The sequence below is a fragment of the Homo sapiens genome, chromosome 11 (assembly GCF_000001405.40).
Source record: "Homo sapiens chromosome 11, GRCh38.p14 Primary Assembly".
Taxonomy (NCBI): Eukaryota; Metazoa; Chordata; class Mammalia; order Primates; family Hominidae; genus Homo; species Homo sapiens.
In genome coordinates this window covers 10348301-10369602 of record NC_000011.10, presented here as the reverse complement: position 1 = coordinate 10369602, position 21302 = coordinate 10348301, and the positions used below count along the sequence as shown (strand labels likewise).

At 40.7% G+C, this 21302-nt stretch overlaps 1 long non-coding RNA gene across 1 annotated transcript in view, besides 6 other annotated features; it reads right to left on the bottom strand.

Moving 5' to 3' along the window:
* The window catches only part of CAND1.11 (uncharacterized LOC100130460), a 122361-nt gene that overhangs the window by 61071 nt on the left and 39988 nt on the right, over positions 1–21302 (bottom strand). The gene's annotated exons all lie outside the window — the stretch shown is intronic.
* Positions 2542–3041: an enhancer, noted in NCBI's record as "OCT4-NANOG-H3K27ac hESC enhancer chr11:10388109-10388608 (GRCh37/hg19 assembly coordinates)". NCBI's record gives its function as "activates a minimal SCP1, AML or CMV promoter by ChIP-STARR-seq in primed H9 embryonic stem cells {active_cell/tissue: H9 hESC(primed)}" and the evidence as "EXISTENCE:reporter gene assay evidence [ECO:0000049][PMID:30033119]".
* Positions 15083–15613: an enhancer, noted in NCBI's record as "NANOG-H3K27ac-H3K4me1 hESC enhancer chr11:10375537-10376067 (GRCh37/hg19 assembly coordinates)". NCBI's record gives its function as "activates a minimal SCP1, AML or CMV promoter by ChIP-STARR-seq in primed H9 embryonic stem cells {active_cell/tissue: H9 hESC(primed)}" and the evidence as "EXISTENCE:reporter gene assay evidence [ECO:0000049][PMID:30033119]".
* Positions 15614–16145: an enhancer, noted in NCBI's record as "NANOG-H3K27ac-H3K4me1 hESC enhancer chr11:10375005-10375536 (GRCh37/hg19 assembly coordinates)". NCBI's record gives its function as "activates a minimal SCP1, AML or CMV promoter by ChIP-STARR-seq in naive H9 embryonic stem cells {active_cell/tissue: H9 hESC(naive)}" and the evidence as "EXISTENCE:reporter gene assay evidence [ECO:0000049][PMID:30033119]".
* Positions 16450–18406: an enhancer, noted in NCBI's record as "VISTA enhancer hs2289". NCBI's record gives its function as "enhancer in: forebrain[5/5]" and the evidence as "EXISTENCE:transgenic organism evidence [ECO:0001131][PMID:17130149]".
* Positions 16677–17208: an enhancer, noted in NCBI's record as "OCT4-NANOG-H3K27ac hESC enhancer chr11:10373942-10374473 (GRCh37/hg19 assembly coordinates)". NCBI's record gives its function as "activates a minimal SCP1, AML or CMV promoter by ChIP-STARR-seq in naive and primed H9 embryonic stem cells {active_cell/tissue: H9 hESC(naive and primed)}" and the evidence as "EXISTENCE:reporter gene assay evidence [ECO:0000049][PMID:30033119]".
* Positions 17209–17739: an enhancer, noted in NCBI's record as "OCT4-NANOG-H3K27ac-H3K4me1 hESC enhancer chr11:10373411-10373941 (GRCh37/hg19 assembly coordinates)". NCBI's record gives its function as "activates a minimal SCP1, AML or CMV promoter by ChIP-STARR-seq in naive and primed H9 embryonic stem cells {active_cell/tissue: H9 hESC(naive and primed)}" and the evidence as "EXISTENCE:reporter gene assay evidence [ECO:0000049][PMID:30033119]".

Sequence of the window (21302 nt, the reverse complement as noted above, 5' to 3'; positions counted from 1 at the left end):
CCAAAGGAGCAAGCATCTCTTGGGGACTCTGTTTCAGGCCTGGGTCATTCCCTGACCCTCACCTTACACTGTTTTCCTCCCTCACCCAGCCCATTGATCCAGCGGGAGGATGCCCAGACACCAGGTCACAGGTTTCAAAGTAAGGCCCAAGTCATGGGATCCGTGGGGGCAGCCCTCAACTCACTTCCCAGAGATGGGTATACCTCTAGCCCTAATCTGACCACCTGACCGTGGTTCTTGGTAGATAGAGCTGGGCCAAGCTCCCATCAACCTGAGAGGTCCCTGGAGAAGTAAAGCCCTTTCTTGCCTAAACCCATTCTCTCTCTTTTGACCAGAAGCTCAACTCCTAAGAATCTCAAGTTTTCACCCATACTAGCTGGCCCAGCCTACCCAACCAGGCCAAATATCTCATCTCCCTAGCAGGCTTTTCAGAGAAAGATCTGGAGGTGGCTATAAGGCAACGCATGGTAGCGGCCTGGCTTGTCTCTCTGCAGACTCCATGTGACCTCACACTTTTGTTCATAGTCTCACATCCAACAACTGCTTAGGTTAGAGCTGATTTAGTTATCGGCCATTCTTAAGGACTCCATTGGCTCACTCACAGATTAGGAATATCCATGGTTCATCAGCAGGGCCAATGCCACCTGACCCCAACCTCTTACCCCCATCCCCTAAGCCATCCCTAAAAAGTATACAATGTAAGTGAAATCAGTGTGTTTTCCATACAAGACTTCTAGCTTCCCCTTCCACTGCAATGCCTCCTAACCCCTCCAACATAGAAATGCTGGAGCTGGCAGGGCGTGCTGGCTCACACCTATAATCCCAACATTTTCAGAGGCCAAGGCGGGTGAATCACCTGAGGTCAGGAGTTCGAGACCAGCCTGGCCAACATGGTGAAACCCCATCTCTACTAAAAATACAAAAATTAGCTGGGCATGGTGGCATGTGCCTGTAATCCCAGCTACTCAGGAGGCTGAAACAGGAGAATCACTTGAACCCAGGAAGCAGAGGTTGCAGTGAGCAGAGATCATGCCACTGCACTCCAGCCTGGGCAACAGAGCAAGACTCAGTCTCAAGAAAATAAAATAAAAATAAAAGAAATGCTGGAGCCAATAGCACCTCTCAGGTTCAGGCACTCAGAAATCAACTATTGGGGTGAGGTTGGGGGGATGTCCACAAAAACTTAGGACAAACTTTGACATTAAATTCATTCTCAGGGGACAATCTCATCCAGTTCTTGACTGAAAATAGTTACAATGGCTGTGCTGCTACAGGAGGCAGAGAAAAACCTCTCAAGGGGCAGCCAGGAACTCTTCATGGGGTAGGTCATATTTTAACTTGGGCCTCGACAGTTGGGAAGATTCTCAGTCAAGGATGCTGAGGAGGTTACTCTGAGTGCAGAGAGAACAGCATATACAAAGGCAAAGAGATGAAAATTTAGCTGACTAATATAGTATGTGTAACAGAGTAGTGGAGATAAGACTGGAAAGACAGCTCATAAACTGACCCCAACCTCAAGAGAGCCTTGAATATCAGTGAAGAGGTTACACTGATTCTCAAGAGAGATACAGAACAATCAGGATAAAGAATAATCTTAACCAATTAGTCCATTTTCATACTGCTATGAAGAAGTACCTGAGACTGGGTAATTTAAAAGAAAAAGAGATTTAATGGACTCACAGTTCCACATGGCAGGGAAGGCCCCTCACAATCACGGCAGAAGGTGAAGGAGGAACAAAGTCACATCTTACATGGCGGCAGGCAAGAGAGCGTGTGCAGGGGAACTGCTCTTCATAAAACCATCAGATCTCATGAGACTTATTCACTATCACGAGAATAGCACAGAAAAAACCTGCCCCCATGATTCAAGTACCTCCCACCAGGTTCCTCCCACGACACGTGGGGATTATGGAAACTACAATTCAAGATGAGATTTGGGTGGGGACACAGCAAAACCATATCAACTAACATCTATAGAATATTTACTAGGTTGAGCATTAGGCCAAGTGCTTTATATGCATTGTTATCTCACACCAGCTTAACAAGTATATCTATTATTTTTCTGTTTTAAAGACGAGAAAACTTGGCTCAGAGATGCTGAGTTACTTGCCTAAAATCACAGAGCTAGTAAGTGGCATGCACAGAATTCAAACCCAAATCTGCCTGATTCTAGAACCACTAGATGATATTAAATGGTGATGAACAGCATACTTACAAAAGTCCCTCTCCATGGCCGTGGCCTTAGATGGCATCAGGGGGATGGCAAGGAAGGTGTCAGCCTAAAGCCAGACAATTCCAAGCATAGCTCAAGAGTCACTATCGGGTGTCATTCACAGTTGACAGCTGAACAGAAAGGCTGGACATACATGTTGTCTCAGTTAGCAGGGAAGGACAGGAAAGAAGCATGCTGAGCAAAGGTCCATACTGAATATGATCCCTTCCCTACTCCGGACTTTGCAGAGCTGCCCTGCCCAGCGGCACCAGGCCTTCTCAGAGTTGTCCTTTGGCAGCAATGTAATTCATGTTCCCCACTGAGGGCAGAGTCCAGGCTTTGGGTCTATTCTGGCACCCCTTTTCTTCAGAGGCAGCCAAAACAACCCATTGCCTCATTGCAGCACCCCCTTCAAACCAGTCACTTTGGAGAACTTCCAAGGGCTTCGAGACATCTGTTGAACAGAGTTCAACTGGATCTGTTGAACAGAGTTCCATTCTCAATGCCTCTGCCTGCGGAAAGCCACGACAAGGACAGATGTTGTGGCTAGAGGGCAGCAGAGAGCTAGAGGCAGAAGCGCAAGGAGGAGCTAAAGATCACAGCTGGGAGAGCTCTTGGAGGAAGTGGGGGGATGGGGGGCACATGGAGAACCTCCATCTGCCAAGGAAATCCCCTCCCTTGAGTTCACACAGAGGCCAGTTCAGGTTGAGCCATAGATGTTAGGGGATCACATTGGGAAGCCAGACCGGAGGAGAAGCAGAGAGATGCCAGAGACAACACCACTAAGAGTCAAGAAGAGAGCTGGGAACATGCTGGAGGTCACCAGAGGTCCTGGAGCAGGTCTGAACACAGGCCAGCCTTGTTCTCCCCAGGCCAGGAGAGCAGAGAAGAATTTGGGCAAAAAAGCAAAGAAGAAAAGCTGCCCAGTTCATTTTATGAGGTTATCATAACCCTGATAACAAAACCTGTCAAGAACAGCACATACACACACACACACACACACACACACACACACACACACACACACACACACACACACAAAGACCAGTCTCACTTTTGAATGGGGACAGAAAAACATCTGGAAAAAAATTAGCAAATTTAATTAAAGCACATCAAAAAATCATCCATGATAGTCAAGGAGGGTTTAACAACGTAAGGATGGTTTGACATTAGGAAATGTATTAAAATTATACAGTTCATCCTTAAGAAAATAAATCACCCAAACCTATATTCTGAAAAGCACTTGATAAAGTTCCACATCCATTTCTGGTGGGTTTTTTTTAACTTTCAAATTTTTAGGGAGAGCAGAAAAATCCCTTAACATAATGAATGGTGGCAATATCTTACTTAAAATTGAAATACTACAGATTGTTTCATTAAAATCAGTAACCAAACAAAAAGATCAATGTTATTATTATTACTTAATATTGTTCTAGAAGTTAAGGTCAATGCAATAAATGAAGGAATAAAACAAAAACTAGATGTGGCAAGAAGACAAAATTATCATTTCTTATCAGTGCTATACCTTAGTTATAAAAGCTATATTTTAAAATTCCAAGACAACTTCCAGAAATAAAATAATAGTAAACAAGAACTTAAAAATCAATAATAAAAGTAATGTGAATAAAACAATAGGCAATATAAGCTGTTTACCACCTAGAATGTTATGGTCAAAAAGTTTGAAAACAATGTTGATAAGAGTTTGGGTAAACAGGCACCCTCAAACGTTGCTGATGGTATTTTGCATAGGGGGAAAAAAACGTTTCTTCTCTATACTCTCATAATGTTTCTGGCCACTAAATGTGTATGAGCTTTTCCCATACCAACCAATTCTCCAATTCTCTGTAGGCACCAACTGGGTATCCTATAATTTAACTCAATTCTGACACTAACTTTCCTGAGTTACGGCAGACCCCACAGGTTAAGGGCTCAGTGCCACAGGACTGCCCCCAACTTCAGACACCAAGTACAAGGAGTAGATCCCCAGGTTACCAAATTGAGGGCTGTCACAACCCCCTCCCCAAGTTTGATAATTTGCTACGATGACTCATAGAACTCATGGAAACACTTACGTTTACCAGTTTATTATATAATAAAGGATATGATAAGGATACAGATGGACAGCCAGAGGAAGAGGTACATAGGGCAAGGTCCGAAAGCAGAACAGGCATAGGAACTTCTGTCCCTGTGGAGTTGGGGTGCACCACCCTCCCATCACGCGGATGTGTTCACCCACCCAGAAGTTCTCCAAACCCTGTACTTCAGGGACTTTTATGGAGGCTTCATCATGTAGGCATGATTCATTATTAACTCAATCTCCAGAAGTTCCAAGCTTCTAATCATGGCTTGGTCTTCCTCGAGAACAGCCCCCATCTAAGAGCCCACCGAGAGTCATTTTATTAGAACAAAGATGCTCCTAGTACCCTTTCACTTCAGAAATTACAAGGGTTTTAGGAGCTCCATGTCAGGAACCAGGGTCAGAGACCAGTATATACATATATGTATTTCTTATTGTTTCACAGTATTATATATTGGTACAGCCTCTATGGAGAGCAATTTGGCAATATTTAAAAATTATAAATGCACTTGCCTTTTAGACTAGCAGTTCCTGTTTAGGAATTAATCTGACAGATATTCCTGTATCTATGTTAAAAATATATGTACAAAATTATTTTTTATTTATTGTTATGACGTAAGAAAATGGAAATGACCTAAATAAACATCAACAGAAAACTGTTCAATAAATTGCGGTATTCATTCATTGGTATACTATGCAGTTGTAAAAAAGAACGAGGAAGCTTTTTATATATTAAAATGGAATGAGCTCTAAGATATAAAGTTAAGTGAAAAAGCAACATACATAAGACCATGCATAGTTTGCTACCATTTGTATATATACATTTTAAAAACAGGAAAAATCATATTTACTAGTTTATGTATAAAATATCTATGGATGGATATACAAGAAACTAGTAACATTTATTAAATATGTATACCGTATTCTATAATTTGAGTTTAAAACTAAGTATATATATTACCTGTTATTAAATATATTTAATTTTAAGAAAGAACTGGGGAAAATGTTCACAAAAGTATGGGACATCCTTTGCTTTGCCAGATAAAAAATATATTTTAAAACTACTATTATTAAACACTATACAACTATAATACTGGCAGAAGTACTGACACAACATGTAAATTAGTTACTTAAAAGACAAAGGAAACATGAGAAATTAATGGAGAAATATCAAGTTATTCACTCACCAAATGATATTGTAAAAAATAACACTTTGGCAATAATTTATATTCTTACCCTAGCCCCATATACCAAAATTAATTTCAGATTATTTAAAATTTTAAATGTACAAAATAGAACTATATAAAAACTAGGTGAAATATATGTAAGTAGTTAACTGATCTTTAGATGTTGATGATTTTCTGTTTCAAATGTTAAGTCTACCTTCCATTCCTGGGATAAACCCCACTAGGTCATGATATATTTTCTTTTTCAAATATTATTGGTTTTAATTTGCCAAAGTATTACCATTGGTTTTAATCTGTTACCTCTATTCATGAGACATGTTGGTCTTCAGTTTTGTTTGTGGTACCAAGATAATGCTAATCTCCTAAAACAAGTTGGGCGATGTTTCTCCTCTATTTTTTAAGTGAGTTTGTATAGAATTGGTATTATTCCATTCTAATGTATACTAGAATTCACCCGTTAAACATAAAGTTGTTCATAATATTCCTTTGTTTTTTAAATATCTATAGGATCTATAATAATGTCCCCTCTTTCATTCTTTCATTCGTAATGCTGGCAATTTCTCTCTCTTCTCTTCTCTCTCTTTCTCTGTTAGCCTGGTGAGAGGTTTATTATTGCCTTTTTTTTTTTTTTTTTTCAAAGAACAGCTTTTGGTTTTATTTACTTTCTCTATTATTTTTCTGTGTTCTATTTCATTTATTTTCACTCTCATTTCCTTACATTCTTAATTGTTTCTACATCTACTTATTTTGTGTTCAATTGCTTTTTTTCTAGTTTTTGTTTTAAGGTGGAAGATTAGATCATTGATTTTTTTTTAGACCTTTTTTTCTCTAATAAAAACATTTAATGCTAAAATTTATTTGGAAGTACTGCTTTAGCTTCATACAACCAATTCTGTGGGGGGAGGGGGGCGGTTGTTGTTTTTTTACATTTTGTTTTGTTTTGTTTTGTTTTAGACAGAGTCTCTCTCTGTCGTCCAGGCTGGAGTCCAGTGGCATGATCTTGGCTCACTGCAACCTCCACCTCCTGGGTTCAAACAATTCTCATGCCTCAGCCTCCCTAGTAGCTGGGATTACAGGCACGGGCCACCACACCCAGCTAATTTTTGTATTTTTAGTAGAGACATGGTTTACTGTGTTGGGTGGTCTGGTCTCGAACTCCTGGCCTCAAGTGATCCACCCACCTTGGCCTCCCAAAGTGCTGAGATTACAGGCATGAGCCACTGCGCTCAGCCCATACCACCAATTCTAATTTGTTTTGTTTTCATTTTCCTTCACTCCAAAATATAATTTCCCTTCTTTGACCTATGAGTTGTTTAGAACAATGTCATTTCATTTCCAAATATTTGTGAATTTTCCAGTTATGTTTTTGTCGTTGATTTCTAATTTAATTTTATTTTTAAACAGAGAACCTACTCAGTGTAATTTCAGTTCTTTTCATTTTATTGAGATTTGTTTTATGGCCCAGAATGTGTTTTATCTTGTTCAATGTTCCACATGCACTTGAAAAGAATGTGTGTTCTGTTGTCACTGGGTGTTAACACTCTACCTATCAATTAGATCAGTGGGTAGATAATGTTCTAGCCTTCTTTATTCTTACTGATTATCTGTCTGTTTTACCAATTACTAAGAACGCAGTGTTCATATCTCCAACCATAATTGTGAATATTTCCATTTCTCCTTTCATTTTTGTTACTTTTTATTCATTTTTTTCTTTTTTCTTTATTTTTGTCTAATTGCAATTCATATATTTGGAAGCGCTGTTACTGGGTATATATATATATACTTAAAATCTTCTGATTAATTGATCTTTTCATCATTAGAAAATGTCCCTCATTATCCTTGGTAATATTTCTTGCCCTGAAGTCTACTTTGTTTAATATTAATATAGCCACTGCACTTTTTTGATAAGTGTTTGTGATGTCTTATCTTTTTCTATCCTTTTTTTTAATTATAAATAAATGAGACAGGGTCTCACTCTGTCACCCAGGCTGGAGTGCAGTGGTGTGATCATTGCTCACTGAAGCCTCAACCTCCTAGGCTCAGGTGATCCTCCCACCTCAGCCTCCTCACTCTCTGGGACTACAGGTGTGTGCCACCATGTCCAGCTAATTTTTTGTATTTTTTGTAGATATGTGGTTTTGCCATGTTGCCCAGGCTGGTCTCAAACTCCTGGGCTCAAGTGATCTTCTCACTTCAGCCTCCCAAAGTGCTAGGAATACAGGTGTGAATCACCATGCCCAGCTACTGTCCTTTTAATTTTAAACCGTCTGTGCCTCTATATTTAAAGTGGGCTTCCATAGATAGCACAAAGTTAATCTCTGTTTTTACCAGACTATCTGGACCATTTATACTTAATGTAATTATCTATATGGTTAGATTATGTTTATCGTCTTGCTGTTTGTTTTCTACGTGTCTCATTTTTTCTTTTTTTTTTTTGTTTGTTTGTTTTGCTTTTTTTTTTCCTTATTTTATTTTTTTGAGACGGAGTCTCACTCTGTTACCCACGCTGGAGTGCAGTGGCGTGATCTTGGCTCACTGCAACCTCCACCTCCAAGGTTCAAGTGATTCTTCTACCTCTGCCTCCTGAGTAGCTGGGACTACAGGCATACGTCACCACGCCTGGCTAAATTTTTTTTGCATTTTTAGTAAAGACGGGGTTTTGCCATATTGGTCAGGCTGGTCTTGAACTCCTGACCTCATGATCTGCCCACCTCAGCCTCCCAAAGTGCTGGGATTACAGGCGTGAGCCCCCACATCTGGCCTTTTTTCTTTTTTTTTTTTTTTTTTTGAGATGGGGTTTCACCATGTTGGCCAGACTGGTCTTGAACTCCTGACTTCAGGTGATCCACCCACCTCAGCCTCCCATAGTGCTGGGATTACAGGTGTGAGCCACTGGTGCCCAGCCTCCATTTTTTCTTTTTTTGTTGTTGTTCTTCATTGTTCCTTTTTTTCTTTTTCCTGACTTCTTTTGAATTATTTGATTGCTTTTTCAGTATTCCATTTTACCTCCTGTTATTTGAGGTTTTTTACTGCACTTATTTGGACATGTTTTGTTCTGTTGCTTCTTGTTTTGCATATGCATATTTACCCTACCACAGCCTACATTCAGACAATATTACACCACTTCATGTATAAGATCTTACAACAACATGCTTCTATTTACCCTTCCATCTTTTGTGCTATTGTGGTCATAATGTTATAAGCATCATGAAAAGTTGTTATCTTTAAATAGTGAATTATCTTTTAATAAAATGTTTAAATTTTTAAAAATTCCATAAATACATTTATCATTTCCTCCACTCTGCTTTCCTTTATGTAGCTCCAAGTTCCCACGTAGTATCATATTTCTTTAGTCTCAAGAATTTCATAGCCAGGTGTGATGGCTCATGCCTGTAATCCCAGAGCTTTGGGGGGTGCCAAGGTGGGAGGATCACTGGAAGCCAAGAGTTCAAGACCAGACTGGGCAACATAGAGAGACTCTGTCTCTACAAAATGTTTTTACAAAAATAAGCAAGAGCATATCTGGAAAAAAAAAAAAAGATTTCCTTTAACATTTTTGTAGTCCAGGTGATAGTCACAAATTCTCAGCTTCTATCTGTCTAAAAAAGTCTTTATTTTACCTTCATTTTTAAAGGATATTTTTCCTGGGCAGAGAACTCTAGGTTGGCAGATTTTTTTGTTTTAATATGTACTTTGAAGGTGTTGCTAGAAACAAGGGCTTATTTTTGCATTCATTTTTATCTGTGTGTCCCTATAAGTAAGGTATCTCTTTTTCTCTGGCTGAGTTTCAGATTTTTCTCTTTGTCATTGGCTTTCAGCAATTTGATTATGTTTTACCTTGGTATGACTTACTTTGTATTTATCTTGCTTGGGGTTTATTGAACTTCTTAGGTCTGTGGATTTATAGTTTTTATCAAATATGAGAACTTTTTCTGCCATTATTCCATCTTCCCCTTCCTTTTAGGACTCCAGTTACACATCTGTTATACCTCTTGTTATATTGTCCAATAAGTTACAGAGGCTCTGAACATCTTTTTCAGTCTTTTCCCCTGCTCTGCATTTTAGTTGGGATAGTCTATTGCTCTGTTTTCAAGTTCACTGATCTTTTCTGCAGTGTCCAATGCATTATTAGGCCCATGAGTGAATTTTTCATTTTATGTATTCCATTTGTCAGCTCTGGAATTTCCATTTCATTCTTTTTAATATCTATCATTTCCTTCCTTATTATGTTCATATTACTATTAAATACTTGAGCATATTTATAATAACTGTTTTAAAGTTATTTTCTGCTAGTTCCATGATTTCTTTTTTTTTTTTTTTTTTTTTTTTTTGAGATGGAGTCTTGCTCTGTCACCCAGGCTGGAGTGCAGATTTGAAGTAAATCTTATATTATTTTTGGGATTTAACTACAGTGATAGGAACTCAGAAAAATTAATTGCTTGAGATGAAGAAACACTCAACACATTTGCACTAATAACATATATAGCATTTGGTATACTTCTTTTGTCTAAATTATTTATTCTGTGTTTTCTGCATTTGGTACCTAATCTTCACAGTGATCGTTTTTATGGTTACAGAATATTCCATACCAAAATTTACTCAGCCTGTCCCTTATTGGTGGATTTGTGAGCTGTTTCCATTTTTCTGCTGCCTCAGATGATGCTGTCATAAATATCTTTATGCACTTGGCTTTTTGTTGTTGCTGAATTATTTTCTTATGATAAAATCCCAAGAGTAGGATTATTGGGTCAAGAGTAGAAACATCTCCCTGGTTCTGGCAATCTATAATCTGAAAATGTGTTTTGAGAATTATTTCTCTTATTATAGGGGAAAGGTTGAAGCTCAGTTGTTGGTGGTAAGGATCACATGAGGAAAACAGGCCTGTTTCCCTGAGCCCATTAGCCCAGGATCACTGCCAATCTATCTTTTCTCCAGCCATCAGCCTTTCCTATTTATTTTATTCAATTTTCATCATTCATTTAACCAACCTTTATTAGGAGCCTACTATGTATCAGGCACTATGATTTCTCTCTGCCACACTGCAATGAATCCCAGAAGTGAATCTAATACACAGAATTTAAAGAGACCCAATCCAGATGTGCCCTGGCCTATCCTCTCTGAGGACTATGAAAGGTATTGGAGCTTGTCCTCGCCAGAGTTCCTGCACCCCTTCCAACATGTCTGAGATTGTTCGTGGAACCCTGGAATCTCTTGCCTGGACAGATCTGGTATTAGCAATCTAGCCCATTCCATAGACAGGCTTGGTACCATGGTAGGGCAGGCCCGAGCAGGAAAGGGAGAGCCTAAGCAACCTCAACTGCACCAGCTGATCCAGTTGCCCCGATATCATCTTGATACTTCTGTCTCCAGAACTGGTAAGCTAGAAGTAACCCCAGGGTCTCCTAGCCACATCCTAACAGCTATATTGATTCAGTCCATATCCTTGACTTCCAGCCTCAGTTTCCCTCAGTCTGTCTTTTCAGTGCCCCCCCACCCCGAAAACTGAGACTTGTCCTGAACCCAGGTCCTCTTGGCTTGGGTTCTGGTTGTGGTTCTGAGTCCCTGCCTTCCCTGGCCAGCATCCTTTCACGTCGGGGCTGACCCTGCTCCACTGGTTGAGTCTGTGTGTTTGAAGTGGACAAACTCCCTCCAGTTTTAGCTGCTGCTCTCAAGCAGCAGACCAGTTGACTTGTGGGAATAGTCCATGGTGCTGAGAACCCTATACAACTTATGTCCAAGCCTGCTAAGTTATTAATAATAAGTACAGTGTTCTAAAGGTGAGGACCCCAAGGTCTACAGAATAAATATGACTTTGTGACAGTCAAATAGCAAGTTTGTATCATATTAGGCCTAGAACTCAAGGTTTTTGCAATCTAGTCCCCTCCATAGGCAGACTTAGCCCCATTCTAGGGTAAACTGCTTTCCTCCTAGTTTATGCCTAGAAATTTAGAAAATATTCCAAAGCAGAAGCCCAATTACAAGGCCTGAGACCCACAGGATGGAGGAGGAGAGAAGACCCCAGTGTTTGAGAATAAAATTAGTTCTACTTTTCAAAAGAGGGGCATGAATCAGGAAAGTCCTGAGCAGCAGGACTGATTTTATGTGGAGCCCTAGACCATCAGTCTGGATCTAGTCATCTTAAGATGCTTCTTACATCTCAAGAATGTACCAGGAACCTGGAGTAGGGCTGGGCTCATAGGTGAGAAGAGACAGGGTAGAAAATTGAGGAAGGATATGGGGGTGAGGAACCAGGCTGGACCTGACACAGAGATGTTCAAGTAGCCCACATGTCAGTTGAGACCTCTCTGCTTCATAAGTCTTGGGTAACAATTGACTTAAAATACACATCCCCATGGCCTATGGAAGTCTACAGCTTTCTCCGAAATTTCTGTAAATACCCAGGACACATACATTCTCCTGTCCTAGTCTCTCAGGGATAATGTTCTTTGAGTAGTCTTTGCTCTGTGCTACATCAATCAAAGCATAAATTTAGCTCTTTCACAGAAAAAAATCTTAATATACCATATATGAATTTAATAGACTTTGCTGAAAATGTTGGGAGGGGTTTCACAGAAAGTGAGTCTGCTCATTCACTGTACCCTGGACAACCTAAAAGTCTCATTCATCATTGCACATTCTTGCTCCCTGCAGTCCTTGTCAGCCACCCACTTAAGATGGTTTTCTCTATTGGCTTCAACACTACACCCACCCTCACCTCACTGCACCCATCCTCACATGCTCCTCTGGTTCTTCTGTCTTCCTTCTGTCTTCTCTTTCCTCTGTTCTTTCTTCTCCATCCAATCTCTCCAAAGTCAGACATAAATTCCTTTCCTTATCTCATGCAGAGAGGCTCTAGTGGGGGAAGGAGGAATTATACCTCGTTTGCTTCATTATTAAACTCTTTTTTTTTCCAAGCAAAAACACTTCCTTCCCATCAAGAATTCTAGTGCCAGATGTTTATTAAGGTAATTCAAAAAATTACTCAATACACATGTGTAAACAAAAAGTATGCAGAGTTATTCTGATGGATAGTTCATGCCAGACCAAGCACTATGATAGTCCTATTCAAAATGGACTAATGAGAATGTTTAGAGCATCCTGTCTGATTTAGGAGTATGCCCTTGACCATAAAAGCTCAGCTGAATCCCAGAACTGAGCCTGGGAAAACTTGATTTGTCTTGTGCCCTTTGAAAGAATTTTACAAACTGCTGCTACAGGCAAGATACCCAAAATGGGGTGCTGCTTTTATTAGATAAGACAAAAAGGTACCTATGGCAACCAGAAAGTTTCGAGGTTTTTCAGACCTGTGTGGACTCTTAAGGTATTTTCAGCTCGCAAAATTTTAGCTGAACTGTGATATCAATTCAGTTGCAAAAATTGGCATGAGCAAAAATGCAATGGTCATTTCATATGGTCAAATCAGGTGACTAGCTGAACAATGAAACTTCAAGATATGTGGCTTGTTCCACTTGCTACCTAATGGTGTAAAACAACAACCAGTTTATTATTCTCAAGGATTATATGGGTCAGGAGTTTGGGAAGGACATGACAAGGACAGCTTGTATTTGCTCTACAACATCTAGAACCTCAGCTGGAAAGTCTCAAGGCTGAGGATTACTGAATAGCTGGGAGCTGGAATTATCTGAAGGCTCTTTCACTCATGTGTCTTGGTGCTTGAGGTCAGAAAGTCTGCATATGACCTCCTCATCTGGGCTTCTTCATAGTTTGCTGGTTAAATTCTGTGGTAAGAAGCCTCTAAAATGGTCCCCAATGAGTTCCACCTGCTGGTATTCACAGCCTTGTGTAATCTCATCCCCTTGATTAAATTGCTTCTAACTCATAGAATATGGCAACATTGAAGGAATATTTCTGCTATGATTAGGTCACAAGATAATCTCTCTCTTTCTCTGGCTTTGATGAAGGAAACTGCCACAATGAAGAAGCTCACATGGTAAGGAATTGAGTGTTACCCTGGCCAATAGCTATACAAAACTAATGGTCTTCAGTCCAACAATCCCTAAAGAAGTGAATCCTGCCAAAAACCACGAATAAACCACGTAAGTGACTTTGGAAGTAGATTCTTCTCCATTCAAACATTCAGATGAGACCCCAGCCCTGACCAAAATCTTGATTATAGCCTTGTGAAAGATTCTGAAGCAGAAGACACAGTTAAACTGTGGTTGAGTTCCTAACTCAGAAACACTGTGGGATGGATAATAAATGTGTATTGTCTTAAACTACTAAGTTTTGGGGTTGTTACATAGCAATAGATATCTACTATAAGTTCCAAGAGCAAATATCTCACAAGAACCAGGCAGAAACCATAGCTTTTATGACCTAGGCTCAGAAATTACATAGCATAATTTCCCCCAAATTCACAAGCCTGTACAGATTCAAGCAGATGGAATATAGACCACATCTCTCACAAGGAGGGTTGTACAAGTGCCAACATGTCATCATAGGAAGAACATGTGGGAGGAGAGATGCTGCTGTGGCCATCTTTGGGGAACACAGTCTGCCTTGTGGCTCTTTGGCCTTGACCTGTAGCATGGCCTGATCTACTCATGTGAAAATTTCAAGGAAGATTTATGTTGTTTTGCTATTTTGAAATTGAGGTTTTGTTTATGTTCCTCCTGACATGTCTCCTCTGCTTTTAAGAAATTCTCAAGCAATTCATCAGCACGTCACAAGATTAATGGGAGTTTCCCCTCCTGCAACCAAGGAGACCTCAGAACCATAATTTCCAAGAATGTGAATGACTATCTGAAGAATAAGATCCTCTCCACTTAAGAGTGACTCCTAATAAATTACAACATGCCCTGGCTACACGTTCTGAAACATTCCTGTATTGCCCCACACTCCATGCCAGTTGAGGGGAAAGAAGACAGTGAATGAGGGGGATGTGGTTGGGGGATCTAATGGACACTCGGGCGGGGCTGACTCCAGTGGTATTTCCAGTACCCCATAAACTCACAGAACTTCTGAACACGAAGGAATCTCAAAGATCGATCAATTAAATTTATACTGGAAATGTAGCTACGATCATAGCTATGAATTGAATTTATTTATTTAGTGAGATCTGACTATAATAGTATGTCCTTTATAGCTGAATGAAGTAGACATTAGTGTCTAATAGAACTCAAGTATGTCAGACTTCACCAGTTTGTAAACTCATGCTTCTATTTAATGCACCATCATTGTAGCTTGAGCCTCATCCTACTTGACTTCGTGAAATCAGGATTTTATCCAATTCCGCTGGGGAACACTTACGTGGTCCACCCATTTCCTCTGTACTTTTCATCTCTGCCAGCTGCCTGGCCCCACATGGGGGACTCCTATGTCTGAACACCTGCTTCCTTCAGGGTACAACTTTCCTAACTCCACTGTTGTGCCCCAGCATGGGCTGTACAGACTCCTCCACCATTTCCCTGTTGTGATAAAGCAGACTAGGCTGAAACTTTTAACAAGACATTACCAAAGGCTTGGAGAGAAAAGAGAATTACAACAGAGAGAAACTTGAAACTCAGTACCTTTGCCCAGATTCCCCAGTCTCTGGGTTTGACTTCTACATTGCTCTCTACTGCTGCCATGGAGGAAGGGCCAGCCTGCCTCCCCACAGTGGGAAGATACTTCATTCTACAAATCCTTGAGGTTCAGATCAAGGAGGCAGTTATTTCCCTCACACTTCAACCTAAGCTCCATGTCCTTAGTCTTTATTTCCTGCCTTAGGATTGATCGTGTTCCAGGAGGCCTGAGAATTAATGTGTCTATTTCGTGGAAAACTCCAACTTCTAAACAATAACATAACAAGCATTCTAACCATAGAACACTGTGTGTGATAATAACAGCCCAGTCAATGCTGAGTCCCATAAAGCCCAGTTAAGTTCTTTTCCCCATTCTCTCCTCTAGCATGAGTCTATGATCATGGTTATACAGTTGTCTAGCCATCTTCAGTGTCTCAGCTCTTGAGTTTCTATGATTGTCTAGTTGGAAAATGGCTTATTCGGCCTGGCATAGTGGCTCACGCTTGTAATCCCAGCACTTTGGGAGGCTAAAGTGGGCCAATTGCTTGAGCCCAGGAGTTCAAGACCAGCCTGGGCAACATGGCAAAACCTCATCTCTACAAAAAATACAAAAATTAGCTAGTCATGGTGCCCCTATAGTCCCAGCTACTCAGGAAGCTGAGGTGAGAGGATCGCTTGAGCCCAGGAGATTGAGGCTGCGGTAAGCAGAGATCATGCCACTGCACTCCAGCCAGGGCAACAGAACAAGACTCTGTCTCAGAAAAAAAGAAAAATGGCTTATCCGTTAAAAAATTTTCAAGAGCAAGCAATAATAAAGTGACAAATGGCATTGTAAATACATAGGAAATTTTAGGCTGGGCATGGTGGCTCTCACCTATAAAGCCAGCATTTTGGGAGGCTGACGTGGGAGGATCATTTGAGCCCAGGAGTTTGAGACCAGCCTGGGCAACATAGTGAGACTCCATCTCTGCAAAAAAATAAAAATAAAAAAAATAGCCAGGCATGGTGGCACATAACTATACACCTAGCTACTCAGGAGACTGAGATGGGAGGACTGCTTGCGCCCAGGAGGTCAAGGCTGCAGTGAGCCATGATTGTGTCACTGCACTCCAGCTTGGGTGACAGAGCCGGACCCTATCTGAAAAGAAAAGAAAAGAAAAGAAAAGAAAAGAAAAGAAAAGAAAAGAAAAGAAAAGAAAAGAAAAGAAAAAGAAAAAGAAAAAGGAAAGAAAAAGAAAAGAAAAGGAAAGAAAAAGAAAAAAGAAAAGAAAAAGAAAAGAAAAGGAGGGAAGGCAGAGAAGGGAAGGAGACAGACAAAGAAAAAGAAAGAGAAAGAAAGATAAAATGCTCCAAATAAAACCTTTTGAAGAGATCAACTCTGCCTAATATGTTGACATTTTACACAATTTTGCCAAACATTTTAGTTATTGGAGTCATAGTAGCAGAACTTCCCCCATCCCAAGGTAAGATTTTTTTCTCTATATTTGCATACGGCCTATAAGAAGCATTTTCTGAGACGTTTCCTCTTTTTAGAAACACAAAAATGTGTACGGATTACAAATGACAGTTCTTTTTCAGTCTCTACTTACTTCTCAAGTGATCCAAAAATATTTGGGTCTAATCTCAGCCAAGTTCACCTTGTTATATCCACTTTATGGACAAAGGAAGCTGAGGTTCTATGAAATCCAATTTACTGAATTACACAATTAGAAAATGGGGCTGGGAATGGTGGCTCATGCCTTTGGGAGGCCAAGGAGGGAGAATCACTTGAGCCCAGGAGTTAGAGATCAGCCTGGGTAACACAGGGAGACCCCATCTCTATAAAATATAATAATAATAATTAAAAAAATAAAACAATAGAAAATGGGAAGGCTGAAATTCAGAACACCAGCTGCCCTGGACGCTCTGGCCCTTGCAACTATACCAGGCCACACTTGATCTAAAAGGAAATGTTACATATCACAAAAACATGCGTTGTGAAGACCAGCCAAGCATACAACAAATCAGTCCCATTCAGTTTGGGATTACAAGCCGGACGAACAATAGAGCAGGCTTCAAAATAAACTTCCGTTTCCAGGATGAGAAGGAAACATAGGGACATAAGCTCTTAGGAGACACCTGCAGTGAGCAGGGACCTGCGCCAGAGAAAGGGTATAAAGCGGAGCCTGAAAAGAGGGGACTCCGAGGAAGACACCGCATTCATTCTTCCATCCCACAAACTTTCGCCAAGTGAGTCCTTTGTGCCCGGCTTTGTGCTTGGCTTTGTGCTACGCAGCAGGCACAGGCTGATGAATCAGTTAGAGGCGCCTGCCCCCTTGGGCCTCACAATCTGATAGAAGGGACAAACAAGTAAATATAGAACCTGCATTCCTCTCATTCAAGTGAAAAGGACATCCTGATTAAAATATCTATGGCAGCTCTGAGAACATTCGTGCCCAATCACAGTAAGGGCCTGAACTGATTGTCATTTCCTTTGTTTAACCAATTCTCTTACACCTGGAGTAGAATCCCTGGGGCCAGCCCGGCTGGGTACCCAACGTGATCCCTCCAGATCTCTGGAGCAGCTCGCCTTCCTCATAATCATTTTACCCTGGGATGTTTCAGCCTTTGAGGTACAATGTGTGACTAAGGCCACTGTCAACAGGCAATGACACAAAGCATCTGTCGTCTGGCAAAGACCAGCTGAGCAAATGCTTAACTCAGAAGGCTGCTACAGTTTTTGTGAAAACAAATTACATCAGCGCCTAACCCGGGAGTCTCCCAACCAGGCTAAAGGGTGTTTTCTTTGGTGAGCGTGTGTGCTCCTACCTCACACAGCATGAAGGAACTCTGCCTAGAGTGAAGTGGCACAAAGTCTCCATATCTCAGAGCTTGGTGATACCATCAAGAAGACTCCTTGCAAAATCGGCTTAGCAAGGAGGCAGACATTCTGAGACTTCCCGGCATGCAAAGAGCCCCGTGCTGTGGGAAGGGACACACACGAGGTCAGCCAAGGTCATGGGCTCCCAAGGAAATATTTACTGATTAGCTTCCGTGGGCCAGGTGCTGGGTGGAGATTTAACTTACCTTATCTCATTTAATTATACCCCAAGTATGCTCAGCCCCATGGCCTTACTCTGGACCTGCCTTAAGGCCAGCACTTCACAAAGATACCTTTAAAGCAATAGTGAATAATGCAGATTCTACCACTGACTCCATGGGGACATAGAAGGGACATTTATATTGCAGACCACAGGTAAATATTAATCTTCAAGAGATCTATTGTACAACACGGTGACTATAGTTAATAACAATGTCTTGCATTCTTGAATATTGCTAAGAGAGTAGATTTCAAGTGTTCCCACCACAAAAAAAAAGTACATGAGGTAACGCATATGTTAATTAACTCAATTTAGCCACTCCACAATGTATACAAATTTCAAAAATCATGTTGTACACAATAAATACATACAATTTTATTTGTCAATTAAATACATAGATAAATTTGAAAAAAATACTTAGTTTAACACCTCCATTGTCTTCTCCCTTCTCTCCCTTTCCATTCTCTCTAACTTCCCTGTGACAGTTTCCTCTCTCTCTCTTTCTCTCTCTCCCTATTTCTCTCTCTGCCTCCCCATATACACAGCTTCTTCAAAATCCCCTCCACGTCTTCCCCTGTCACTTGCCTAACCCCGCACACAAAAGCCTAATCATAGCCAAAAGGCAAGAATATCCAATTACTCCTTAAGCAAAATCCTTGTGAGCCTCAGTTTGTCTCATTCATTCATTTAACAAATAGTTGTCAAGTGCCCAGCACTGTTTTGGGTGCAGGAGATTAGCAGTGAACATGATAGACAAAAATATCTGCCCTCATGTAGCTTCCATAATCCTTATAGCAATCCATTTTTACATATTAAAAAAACAGAGGTTTGGACTCAATTTATCCAACAGAGTCAGACACTTGGGGCCCAGGGGCAAATTCCAGCCCAGAGAAAGCATTTAGCAGGACCCAATGAGGGCTTCAGGGGCCCAGTCAGCACTCTGGAATCTGGTGGTGAGACTGGGTGCCTAGAGCCTGGAGAATGAGGGGAAGGGACTCAAGTGTCATGTTACAAGGACAGCCCTTGGAAACAAATACATTGGGTTCAAGTTCAAGCTTAGCTACTTACTTGGACTAGTTACTTAATTCTCTCCAAGTCTTAGTTTTCTCATCTATAAAATGGGGACAAAAATTAAACTTACCTTAAAGACTGTGATTACATGTATACACACTGTGTATATATATACACAGACACAATCATTAAATTCTCAGAACCCTATGTTGTGCTAAACATCATATATGTGTATGTGGTCTAACAGAGTAAATGCTGTAAATATTAGTTACCACTTATTTATTTATATTTGTAATTATTATTAGGTATAAAAATGGGTCTACTTAGTAATAGAGCCCCATAATTTGTCAGCCCAGCTCCCTTCTTTTTCTGGGAACAGACTTTCTCACAATCACCTCCCCACCCATCCCCAACCTCCTGATCAACCAACTCTATCCATGACGTCTCCATGGAAGCCACATGTTGGTACAATATGACCTCTCCCCCAGGCACTTGAAGCAAGCTTGACATATCAGAGTCCTTTCCCAGAAAGCTTGCCACTGGAATAGGAAAGAAATTAGTCTCCAGGTAGCTAAAGCTGTTACTACTAGCAGCCATGTTTTCAGCCACATGAACTGAGGAGCAGAAATCAGTCTGCAGTAAGAACAAAGAATGAAATTGGTGTGCAAATAGATAGAAGTGGAGACAGGATATGGGGAGCTGTACCAGCATTTGAGGGCTGGTTCCACTTCATTGAGTTCCAAGAGACAATTCTGTAAGTAAATACCTCATTTTTCTCAAGCTGGTTTGATTTAGGACATTATGCCTTGCCATTAATGAGTCTTAACTAACTACAGGTCTAATCCAGCAGACTTGGCCTTGATATATGGGTCATACCAGCCTCTAAGAGAACTTCTCTGAAGAGAAATTCAATTTCTCCTTAATAGTCAGGATCAGTTATCCCAAGCCAGTTTAGTAGCCCTCTCTTTTTCCTGTTGATTCACTGGCATGATGAGCCCATGTGGCCAGGTGGTCATCTTCACTTCCAGGTTAATGATACAGTTGCTGTGCTCCCTGGAGGAAATATTATTCCTCTGAAAACCAAGACTTCTAAACCAGCAGAGCCTAAAGTTCTAGAGATAGGAAGATAAAATTTCATAGTGGATGACTAAATTTAATAATAAGAAGAAACTCTCTCATTTCCACTCCTTCATTCCTGAACCCAGAAAAATTGGCTATAGGAGAAACAGCAACATATGTTGGTCACTAATTTAGGACATACGCTACATACTAGGGGACACTGCCCCAGCTCTACAAGGTGTTTCCACCCAGCTGGCCCTGTAACTATGCCTTCAAAAGGTCATTCTACCACTTTATCAGGACAGCTGCTTCGAGGTAATGGGGTATTTTGCAAGACTAGTGAATTCCATGAGCGTGAGCCCATTACCACACTTCATTTGCTGTGAGTTCCCTGGTCAAAAGCAATGCTCTGTGAAACACCATGTGAATAACACATTCTGTAAATCCCTGGATGGTGGTTTTGGAAGAAGCATTGTGAGCAGGAAAAACAAATCTTTATCCAGAGTAAGTGTCTATTCATTCCAGTGAGAACAAAGTTCTGTCCCTTCCATGATGAAAGTGATCCTTTATAATCAACTTTTCACCAGGTGGCTAAACTGGTACTCCCAGGGAATGGTGCCAAATAAATGCTGTGTTGATGTCTGCTGTTGGCAGGTTGGACACTCAGCAGCGGTGATTCAAAGTCCATGTTGCTGAGCCCCCAGATAGCCCTATGGACCATTTTATGTGGCTTCCATAGAACAAAAAAGGGGAACCTGGGGAAAGAGGGTAACAAATGTTCACAAAACCAGCAATCTCATCCACCTACTTATTAAGATCTTCTTCTGATAAGATTGCTGTTTGGTGAGCATTCACATGGGATATACTATCTTCCCATTCCGTGCAAATTCGTAACATTCTACCTACAAACCTCTTTCTCAGCTCTCCCTGCCACCAGGTTTTTAATCATGATCCTTTTAAGGTTTGACCATCCAGCCAAACCATTAGCCGCTACCCTAAGTCAATATAGATTCATACTGTCCACTGGGAAGATTTTCCTTCACCCTGTCTTTCAAGGCCATGCTGTGGTGGAACTGCAACGGTACAACCACCTACTTTTGGGTAGTGCCAGCATATTGGACAGAACCATCTTTAAACAAGGCCTGGAATTTT